Genomic DNA, 12,687 nt, shown 5'->3' on the forward strand with positions numbered 1-12,687 from the left:
TGGAGAAGATTCAATAAAGCATGATTTTGTTCTGAATTTTAGGAAAAGTAGAGGTGGTTACATGAGTATCTTAATAATTTTATCTAGAAGTTAGGAAGGCAGAAAAAATGTAATTCTCAAAAAAGCAGAAGTTACTTATGTTACTGGGAGAGGAGGACATTTTGTCTGTGATTTAGACATATTATCATTTTGCCTGCACTTGAACATGATTATGAAGAGCTGTTGTTTTGGTTTGGTCCCATCTTTGTCTCAGAGTAGCCTTGTCCATTAATTTATTGTGAAATCATCTATGTTCCATTAGAAAACACTATGGTTGTTTCTAACAATGAGCAGTCATTGGGGCTATTATTTTTTAAGCATAAATGTAGAAAATATAGTCACAATTTGGATGAACATGAAGGAAATTGTATTCTAATCAATAATAATACTTAGAAATGAAAAATTTTGTTTTTTGTTTCCTTCTATATACCTGCCTAAATAATTTGATAGGCTCTCTACCTATATACAAATTGATCCTAGATAAATTCTTAGGAAAGTAAAAGAATAAAGAATAGTTATTCCATAGACAGAGCAGCTCAGAGGGCTGCTGGTTGTCCTTTCTTTTTTTTTTTTTTTTTTTCGAGACGGAGTCTCACTCTGTCGCTCAGGCTGGAGTGCAGTGGCACAATCTCGGCTCACTGCAAACTCCACCTCCCGGGTTCAAGTGATTCTTCTGCCTTAGGCTCCTGATTAACTGGGATTACAGTCACCTGCTGCTACGCCTGGCTAATTTTTGTATTTTTTTTTAGTAGAGACGGTGTTTCACCATGTTGGCCAGGCTGGTCTCAAACTCCTGATCTCAGGTGATCCACTAGCCTTGGCCTCCCAAAGTGCTGGGATTACAGGCATGAGCCACCGCGACCAGCCTGGTTGCCCATTTTTATGGTTATTTCTTGATTATATGCTAAACAAGGGGTGGGTTATTCATGCCTCCTTTTTTTAGACCATATAGGGTAACTTCCTGATGTTGCCATGGCATTTTTAAACTGTTATTGGCGCTGGTGAGAAAACAATTGTCTGTGAATAATAAAAAGTCTTAGCCATTATTAAAGCCACAATTGATAAGGAAATTTTGGTTACTTCTGTGGTATGCAATAATTTTACATAACAATTATAATTATTAACAACATACACTAAGTCATATCAGAATTACAGGAATTTTTCGTAATTTTGGAACACCTGCCAATAACTGTTTATACAAATACAGCCCAAAGAAAGCCAAATACTATTTCATACTTGACAATGCTTTCTGTATGATTTTTATACCAAATAGCCAAATTTCACTTTTACATTAGTATAGTATTAATGTTAAACCCAATTCTTAATAAAACCTCATAGACATATCTACCCAACTTTAATGTTTGACCACAAGGTAAGATTCTCATAAACCTTTAAACCCTTTATAATTTTTGTTAACAAGCTCATTTTATAAAGCATGCTTGTGCTCACAGAAAATAGGAGGTGTCTCTAAGGCAAAATAACAACAGACACAGTGTGCTTTTACAAGTCATTGGGTGTGACAAAGTGAACTTACTATCAATATCCATTTTTTTCATTCTTCTATAGTGGTAGGAGCTCAATATATTTAACTGAGTACAAGACAAGGTGACTATAACTCAGACTTATTTTGAGATAGATACAGCCATTTGACTAAGCTCAGTCAATGAACTAGAAGCAGCAGCATCATGCGGTCAAGTCTTGGAAACTTCAGGAGACATAAGACTGTGTTCCTTGCCTCTTTCTACTGTTTGCCTTCCTCTGCTGCGTAGTATGCAAGTGGAAACAGCTAAGGCCCTAAGTTAAGTCTATCTGTGGCAGATAGACAAGAGAGAAGGAGCCTGGGACTCGGACAGTGGATGGTAATGGCAGTCTTGGACTCTCTACCTGGACATTTATGTGATACAAAATAAACTCCTACCTCATTTTTAGTCACTGCTATTTTAGTTTTTCTGTTCTTCTCTTAAACCTAATAATACTTATTGATACAATAAATAATAAGAAAATACAATGGGCCAAGATTTCCTCAAGACAAATGATAATACTGGTACCAGGGCCTAGAAACTGAAGCCTGGGGCCTTCTTCATTTAAGTGTGTGAACCTGAGACTCTTTTATTAAGTCACAACTCTAAGAAAAAGTACTGATAGGTAGTGTTGAAACCGCCTTTGCAAAATTATAACTGAGGAAATAATGACAGTGAAAGAAATCAGAATTAACTGATTCTGTCTTGCTTCTAACCTTTAAGCTGTCCTTGTTCATTCCTTGGTGTAGGTAGAACTAACTTTGGTAAGGAATTCAGTTCATGGTTTGACTGTGAAACAAAATTGATAATAGCCCTTTCCCAAAAAGACCCCCTTCTTGCCTGGGGACCAATCTGCCTTTGCAGGACTCACAAATTAGCTACAAGATTAGAAATTACAATTTAAGGATCATGCAGCCTCTGCCTCCAAGAGTCTGAACCTCCTTAAATTGCTCCTGGGGATAACATTACTATTGTCAAACCTAAAAACAGTGCTTGGGATATTTTGCAGACCCTGCAGTCGATGGATCAGCTGACACCACCCAGCCTGGTAATCTGGCTAAACCAGTTCTGCCATCCCACCCAGGAACAGAAAACAGCAGGAAAAACTCACTTCCACCCCTGATGATTCCATCACCAACCTGACCAATCAGCACTCCCCACTTCCCAAGCCCCTACCCGCCAAATTATCTTTAAAAACTCTGATCTCCGAATTCAGGGAGACTGATGTGAATAATAATAAAACTTCAATCTCCCACACAGCCAGCTCTGCGCCAATTACTTTCTCCACTGCAATTCCTCTTTCTTCATAAATTGGCTCTGTCTAGGCAGCGGACAAGGTGAGCCCATTGGGCGGTTACAGTGTCACCTGGCTCATATGAGTAAATGCTATATTCAGTAGAAGGAACTGGCCTCTGCTTCATCCATCTGGGATATTGTTTATTATTATTATTTTGTTGTTGTTGTTAAGAGGAGAAGTATTTTTACAGTGTCTTTATATCAGATAAGGAGACTTAAGATCCACATTTTTTTGGAAAGGCACCATTATTTTCTTGGAAGATCACTATAAATTAACTATTGTACTTACTGCTTTGCATATTAGCCTACCCCCACTACTATATTAACTTTAAAAGTTTATTTTCTGTGATAAAAGGTGCAGGATGTACAATAGTTAATTTATAGTGAAAAGACAAACCTGAATTCAGGTTTTCATATTTGCAAGTTTGGATTCTCAAGTTATTCAGCTTCTAGGAAGAGGTGAATATGAATTAGGCTAATATGAATTAATAGAATTAATAGAATTCAGGTTTTCATATTTGCAAGTTTGGGTCCTCAAGTTATTCAGCATATAAGAAAAATAAAACTTCCTAGAAGTGTTCTGGACCTGGGAAGGATGATGAGGAATGTGATGTGGAAAGGAAGGCAGAGAAATTGAAAGTTGGTTTTTATTCAACACTTACTTTGTCAATCACTCAGGTATTAACACACTACAGTAAACATAAAAAGACATGAGAGATACTAAGAAAACAGAGATAGTAAAAATTGCACATTTGGGACTGAAACCAAGGGTCACATATGCCTGGACATTAAGAGACACCTTGACCAGTATCCTTCCCCATCATTCCATTATCTCTGACTTTCTACACATTGACCTTTCCTACTTTCTATACACAGACCTCATCCTATGTTTATTGTGGAAAAATCTCTTATCCCAGAAAATAAATTTTTAAAGTTAGTATAGCTCCAGATAAATGTGTTATGTAAACAAGGCTGATGGTACAGTATTTAGTTCAAAGAGAGTATAGATCAATATTTATATTATTTATTCAATGGGCCACAGATTAATATTAGAAACATATTTATGATTTTGTGCCAAGAAAATATTTCATTATATCATTTATAAAACCAAATAGAAAAACTGTTTCAAAACACTTAGAAATGATAAAGAGATATAATAACAAAAACAGTTTAGTAATAACATATTGTAAATTTTATTATGTTTCATTAATCTAGCCCACTAATCATTTTTACATATACACCAAAAGTTTAATCATTGTAGCTTTATATTTGTGAAGTCTGGTAATATATATTTTTTAATTTTCTAGTTATTTTCTTCTGTTTATTCTTTCACATGAATGTAACATTGTTTTGCCCAGTTAAAATTTTTTTAACATTTATTGTTATATTATTGTATATATTTAGATGAAAAGAGAGAGGAGAGAGAAATGTCTACAACATTATTGAATCTTCCATATATAAATACTCTTTATTTACTTCTATGTACTTTCATAACTTATGTAGCATGTACCAATAAGACATAAACATCTGGTTATGTTTACTTTTTAAAATTTAAGTTTCAGGTTACATTTTATTGGTAAATTTCTGGTTATATTTAACTTTTTAATTTTAAGGATATGTGAATATCATTTTATAGTCTCTATTCTGCATTTCACTTTTATTAAATTGTTTTCACTATCCCAAGTAGATGATTATCTAAGATAATTATTTATTTCTCTATTTCCTATGAATAATGCGTATTTCATTATTCCGTAACATTTTATATGCTTCATTCTTTTTTCATTCTTGCTAGAGTTATACATTTGGATATATGACTCTTGGCTCTACTTAAGATTATTTTAACATTTGATTTCCCTTCTCAGATCTACAGCTAAAAAGAGAGTGGATATGCTTTGCTCTACATGTAGTTTTCATTTATACCACATATTCATGTAGTGAACACTCTTGTACCCTAGTGGGATCTTTTAACTTAAAGCCTAGTTTTCAGATATGTTTTCCTATTAAAGAATCTGGAATATAAGTCCACCTGCACTGGTATCAGGAGTGAAATAATTTCTGAGCCTACATACTTTGAATTACTGACAGTAAAGACACTCTCCCGGTGGCAAGTCTCAGTGGCCTCTTTTTCCTCTTTTCTATCATATCTCTTTTCTTCTCTCTGACTGGGCAAATATGGGGAAAGACGGTTTTAGATGTATTTTTAAATACTATAACCAGAAAAAAATTTCCAGTAAAGAGCGTCTAAGAATCTTGGGGCATGAGGATATTAAGTGAGGGAGGAAAAGTTTTTTCTTTTTTTTTTTTTCAGGAAGTTAACTAAGAATTTTCAGAAATGTATACCATGAAACAAAGGGAATTCTTTAGAGAAGCTAGTAGGCCCTAAGGCCAACTTTTGCCCTTAAGCCAGGAAGCTTTGGTGACAAGAGGGACAGGAAAAAATGCCCAGAACCTCTGCAAGCAGGAAGTCAGAGCTTAGATTTCTCATAAAAAAAGTCCATTTTTCTCAGCAAGTGAATGAGGAAATAACCCACTATGTACAGGCAGCATGGTGATGGGAAACCATGTCTGTCTCAGCCTTAGCTCGAGAGTAGAAGTACAAAAACACAAAACGAAAAGCACTGCTAGAAAGAATCTCTAGGCGGGGCGTGGTGGCTAGCGCCTGTAATCCCAGCACTTTGGGAGGCCGAGGCGGGTGGATCATTTAAGCTCAGGAGTTCAAGACCAGCCTGGCCAATATGGTGAAACCCTGTCTCTACTATAAATACAAACATTAGCCAGGCGGTGGTGGCATGCGCCTTAATCCCAGCTACTCGGGAGGCTGACACAGGAGAATTGCTTGAGCCTGGGAGGCGGAGGTTGCGGTGACCCGAGATTGCGCCACTGAACCCCATCTTGGGTGACAGAAGGAGACTCCATCTCAAAAAAAAAAAAAAAAATCTCTAATCGCTCACTCGCAACTCATAATCACCCACCTAAAGAATCTGCTGAAAATGTATTTTAAGGTAGTCCCTAATTCGTAGTCAGCAAGACCTTTAACAGAGTGAGAGAAAAGTCCTGTCTGGAGAAATGCACATTACAACTGGGACTCAAAGAATTACCACAAGCAAAGGTTTAAATATCACAGGCTCAAATAAATAAATAAATAAATAAATAAATAAATAAATAAATAAATAAATATCAGGGTGCGATTCCTACCCTTAGAAGTAATGAAAAGCAAAGGATATAACTATCACTTTAGACTATACGTTATAATGTGTGAGACAGAGGACTTGAATTATGATATATTTAGGTTTCTTTATTTTTTATTTTTTGAAGATTTTAAAAAATGTATTGACCGGACTGGCCGACATGATGAAACCCCGTCTCTACTAAAAATACAAAAATTAGCTGGGCGTGGTGGCACATGCCTGTAATCCCAGCTACTCCGGAGACTGAGGCAGGAGAATCACTTGAGCCCAGGAGGCGGAGGTTTCAGTGAACCGAGATCGTGCCACTGCACTCTAGCCTAGGCGACAGAGAAAGACTTGCCTCACAAAAAAAATATGTATTCCTTAATGAGAAATAAAAATTGTACATATTTATGGTGCATTACATGATGTTTTTATATCTGTATACATTGTGGAATGGCTAAATCAAGCTAATTAACATATACATTACTTCATATTATTTTGTGTGTGTGATGAGAACACTTAAAATCTACTCTAGCAATTTTCAAGTATACAATCAATATATTGTTATTAACTGTAATATTTATGCTGCTTAATGTCATAAATACATTATTTTACAGCAGGTTTTGTATATTTTGTACAATATGAAATGTAATATTCAATAACACTCATTTATTTCTCTTTTGTTAATGTTTAGTTCACTACCCAAAAAAATCTGTAGAGCTATTTTCTCCACAACAGTCCCTCCGTGAGCAGTACTAATTTTGGGTGATATTCATCCCTTTATGATGGATGATTTTTTTTCTTAATATCTACCAAATGTACATCTGCCAGTAGAAACAGAAGGCTTTGAGAAGGTGACATAGATGATCTTTAGCACCTGTTGCAGCTTCATACCATAAAATAAATTATGGAGGCTAGGCGTGGTGGCTCATGCCTGTGGGTGGATCACGAGGTCAGGAGTTTGAGATCAGCCTGGCCAAGATGGTGAAACGCTGTTGGTATTAAAAATCCAAAAATTAGCCTGGCGTGGTGGCAGGCATCTGTAATCCCAGCTACTCGGGAGGCTGTGGCAGGAGAATCTCTTGAACCCCTGGAGGCAGAGGTTGCAGTGAGCCGAGATCACGCCACTGCACTCTAGCCTGGGTGACAGAGCAAGACTCCGTCTCAAAAAATAAATAAATAAATAAATAAATAAATAAATAAATAAATAAATAAATTATGGAAACATGTTTGTTTAAAACCACAAAAAATCAGTATAATTTTGTAGTAAGCTTTAATCTATACTTTTACAGGATGAACTGCTCACAGACATTATTTTTAAGGACAAATATATAGTAGAATACATCTAATTTTTTTTTTTTTTTGACAGAGTTTCACTCTTGTTGCCCAGGCTGCAGTGCAATGGTGCCATCTCTGCTCACTGCAACCTCCACCTCCCAGGTTCAAGCGATTCTCCTCGCTCAGCCTCCCGGGGTAGCTGGGATTACATAAAATTTTTCTAAGTGTAAACATAATAAACAAAACATTTCAAATGGTAATTACTTTATAGAATACTAGGAGTAATAGGCAATGGCACCCAAATATGAATTGTTTCAAAATAAAATCTGTGGCATTAATTTCAAAATATTCAGATTACATGTATGCATTCACAGACAATACATTATCAGGCATATCTAAAAGATAATCTAAATTTTGAAAGCTTAAAAATGAAAATATACTATGAAACATTTTGTCAATGCCCAATTTTCTCACAGAAATAAGTATAAGAAAGAAGCATGTTCATATTTCTTTCTCATTCACATTAAACTGCATTTAACATTGCTCTGTGCATGTCCATTACAAATTATATACAAACTTTTTTTTCAAATTCCTACTAATAATTCATTGATTCAGATGAACTTTTATCAAAGAACAACAAAGATTTGTGATGTGGGGACTCCCTCTGGCCTTGGATATTTAGATTTCTCCACTCCTTTCCATTCTGTTTAATTCTTATCCGTAGGTGCTCATTGTTTTAAGCATATTTTTCCAACATACCACATAAGTAATAAATACAAAAATTGACCATTTTCATACTTTTGGAGGTTGAATGAAGGTCCTTGGACATTTTTTGAGCAGAAACTTTTGGATTGTGAGGGTAGCTACACTGACAGCAGTTCAGTTAGCAACTGCTAAATTCAGTTAAAAGTGATGTAATTATTTGTTTGATGTTAATGTTTCACCTAGAGAATTTGAAACAACATTCAAAAAGCTTTTTTAACTTTATTTCTTTGTGATAAGACTTTTATCACAGTCAATAGTTCTTTAAAAATGCATTATAATAGACTTTACATTATTTATAGTAAAAACCTAGAAATACTGAAGATAATTAAAAATATGGCTTAATAATTTGAAAATAATATTTGTATTTTAAATATATTGTTATGCTAAAAAGGTAGCATTTTTTATTAGGTTGGTACAAAAGTAATTGTGGTTTCTGTCACTGAAAGTAATGGCAGAAACCTCAATTTCTTTTGCACCAACCTCATAGTTTCTAGTACATTCCTTGCTGAATTAAAGAAAATTATTTAAATGAATGAATATTTAGAACATATTTGTGTCTGAAACTCTAGAAATTTACACTCATTTAAACAAGTAATGAGGAATAAAACATAACATTTCCTGTTTTTATCTACAGAATTATTTATTTTTTCTTCTCACCTCCTTCCTAGATTACTCATTCTTTAAGGCCTGATCTTTCCCTTAACATGGAAACATTAGATGCGTTTTCTTGTCGGTTAATAGTTTCCTCATTTTTGTTTTTAACACTTAAAATGCATTTCTTTGAAGAGTTAATCATGAATTTATTATAATTGTACCTACTTGACTACTTTGTTGCTAGGTTTTAAGGTTCTAGATATCAAAACAATTGTAATTCAGCTTTATGTACTAAATGTAAAATTAGATGATGAGACTGACTGGATGAATGAATGAATGACTAGATAGTGAACAAGTAAAGGAAGTATTGGTCTGCATTTCCCTGATGATTAGTGATGTTGAACATTTTTTCAACTATTTTTTCAACTATGTGTTGGTGATTTGTATGTCTTCTTTTGAGAAATGTCTATTCTACTCTTTTGCCCATTTTTGACTAGGTTATTTGATTTTTTTGCTGTTGAATTGAGTTTCTTATGTATTCTGGATATTAACTTCTTGTTAGATGCATAGTTCACAAATAATTTCTTCCATTCTGTTGGTTTTCTCTTCACTCTGTTTTCTTTGCTGTGCACAAAGTGTTTAGTTTAATGTAATCCCATTTGTCTATTTTTGCTTTTATTGCCGGTGCTTTTGAGATCTTAATCAAAAAATCTTTGCCCAGTCCAATTTCATGAAGCATTTTCATTATTTTTTTTCTAAGTTTTCATAGTTTCAGGTCTTACATTTAAGTATTTAATCAAGCTAGAGTTGGTTTTTGTATACAATGACAGATAGGTGTCTAGTTTCATTCTTCTGATGTGGAAATTCAGTTTTCTCAGCACCATTTATTCAACAGAATGTCCTTTCCCCAGTTTTTGTTTTTCTTGCCTTTGTTGAAAATCAGTTGGCTGTAAATGTGTGGAAATGCAAATGCAAATCAAAACCACAATGAGCTATCACCTCATCTCAGTTAGAATGGCTATTATCAAAAAGACAAAAAAATAACAAATTCTGGCAAGGATGTGGAGAAAGGGAAACTTATGCATTGTTTGTGGAAATGTAAATTAGTACAGCCATTAGGGAAAACTATGGAGGTTCCATACACACAACACACACACAAAAGAAAACTAAAAATAGAACTACCAAATGATCCAGCAATCCCATTACTGGGTGTATAACCAAAGGAAATAAAATCAGTATGTCAAAAAGATATCTGCACTTACGTGCTTACTGCAGTACTATTTACAATATACAAGATATGAAATTAGCCTAAATGTCTATCAGAAGATGAATGGATAAATAAAATGTGTTATGTATATATACAAAATGGAATACTATTTAGCCATAAAACAAACTAAAATCGTATTATTTTCAGCAACATAGATGAACCTAGAGGACATTATGTTATGTAAAATAAGCTAGACAAATACAAATATCACATAACCTAACATGTGGAATCTAAAAAAGTTGATTTTATAAAAGTTGAGAGTAGAATGGTGGTTACCAGTGACTGAGGAGAGTAGGGAAGAGGGGTGAACCAAAGAGGTTAGTCAGCAGATACAAAGTTATAGTTAGACAGGAAGAATAATTACTGGTGTTCTATTACACAGAAGGGTGACTATAGCAAACAATAATGTAGTGTGTATTTTAAGATATCTAGAAGAGGCCACAACAAAGGAATGATAAATATTTAAAGTGAAGGATATGTTAATTAACTTGATCTGATCTTTATAAAATACATACATTCACTAAAATGTCACGCTACATCCCATAAATATGTGCAATTACTATGTGTTAATTCTAAATTAAAAAATTAATTTCTTAACAAGAAAAATAAATGAAGTAAATTTTTTTCTAGAGTCCTCTTTTTCTGCTTCTCACACTATGCCTGACATAGACATCTTATTCTCTGCAACTCCTGCCAGACATAAGACTTGATAGGGAAAGACTCTTGCTCAGCCCTCTTCAACTCTTTTTCCCCCTAATCTTGTTCACAGAAATTTTGTCCAGGGGAAGATACTGTATGATCAGCAGGGAATCAAGTTCAACAGAGGAATAAGAGAAGAATCTTTATACATTAAAAAGAAAAAAAAACTCACTATGTTTTAAAGAATAACAAAAGATAAATGTGATAATGATATAAATTCCTAAACTAAATCACATGTGCTTTTTAGTTGAATTTACATATAAATTTTGTGCCTCCAAAAAGATATTATCCCTGTATGAGTATGTGTCTTGTATTAGGTTGGTGCAAAAGTAATTGCGACTTTTGCCATTAAGAGTAATGACAAAAACCACAATTACATTTGGACCAACCTAATATTTTATTTTTATGTATCCTTCACTATACTTAATACAATGCAAAGTAGTCAATATGTAAACTGCTGAGTAATTGCTTAACCAAACTCTTATGTGTCAGAATTAATTAATCAAAACACCAAATGTACTTCTGAGACTTGATGACATTGTTGTTAATGAGCATTTGATGAGGAATAGAGTAGTGACAGTGTCTTCTAAATCATTTATGCAACTATCTTCATTATAAACTCTTTGTATATAGATTAATAGACTGTTCTTCATATGTCTTAAAAAAGTTTTGTGAAATTCACTTAAAAAATTTTAAGTAGAGATGCAAGTTTTAAGAAGCCATATTTGCTCACATTTGTTAAAAATGCTTAGGCAGTAGGGTTTTTGTTAATTGGAAAAAGAGAGCTAACACCTCATAATATAAAGTAAAATAGCAATTTAAAAAGTATAATAATTGTGATGTAATAACTTACGACTTTTGTTCAGGCTTCTGGATAACATATAAAGTAGAAATGTATTTGACCTTATGTTGTCACACATAAATGCACTTTTAATTTAGATAATATCATCCTTCTAAAACAGACTTTTTCCATAGCCACTCAGTTGAATAAAATGATATTTAAAAAAATTTAATAGCACTAACTGAAGGTCAGTGGTTCCTCATAGATACAAATGTTAAGCAAAGCTTTGTGATTGTTTTTTCCCTCTGGTGATGGTGCTAGGGCAAATAAGTTCCAAATTAGTAAATGTGCAATTTGCATTTTGAAATAACTCAATAGTACTTGTTGCATTATATAAAATTTATAATGATTAATTTTTAGAAATTTTCTTCAAAATATACTGAAACTACTAAAAGTAAAATATAATAGAAAGCAAGCATAGAATGTGTCATACAAGAGAATAATAAAAATCAGGTTATTTTCCCTGTCTCTATGCCAGTTCAATAATAGTAAAATTTAAAAAAAAATAGCTGTAGTTAAATACATATTTTGTGGGAGGAATTCTCACTAGAATTTCATTTCTTTCTTTCCATAGTACCATTAAACTACTAGACTATTTAGAGTAGTATTAAAAAATGAAGTCATTTCTTACTTTTAAAAGATGTTAGTGAGAAAGATAAAAATTTAATATGGTAAAATGAGTAACAGATGATTATTAAAAAGAAAAATTGAAATGGAAAATCCTAGAACAATCAGTAGAGTCATTCAATGAGAGTTAGTGTGCATATTTTTCTGTCTATTTTATTTCAATTTTTAATTCAATTTTTCTTTAAGTTTGTTTTAAAATCATTTGCTTCTGGAGATGCTACTCGTGAAAGATGTTTCTTCTACCAAAAATATTTGTTAAAGTATAAATGATATGTTTTTTATAGTTAAAATAAGAAGACAATCAAAAGTCTAATTTTATAAATCACATCGTTATGATCATACACAGATTTTTTTCTTTATTTTTTAATGCTTAAAGAGGGGAAGAATAATGAGAACAACTAACAACTCACAGAGAATACACTTGATAGATCAGGTACAATTTACCACATAGTGAGTGAGATCCAGAATTGTTAAAGTCTAGTTGCTCAATTAGGATGGAAGCAGGCCTCTGTAGAAAGTTAAGTTTAATTGAGGTTTGAGGCATGCTTTTATAGGAAAGGTTGTGGAGAGGGATGGTTTGACCAATACTAC

Source organism: Homo sapiens, chromosome 12 (assembly GCF_000001405.40).
Source record: "Homo sapiens chromosome 12, GRCh38.p14 Primary Assembly".
Lineage (NCBI taxonomy): Eukaryota > Metazoa > Chordata > Mammalia > Primates > Hominidae > Homo > Homo sapiens.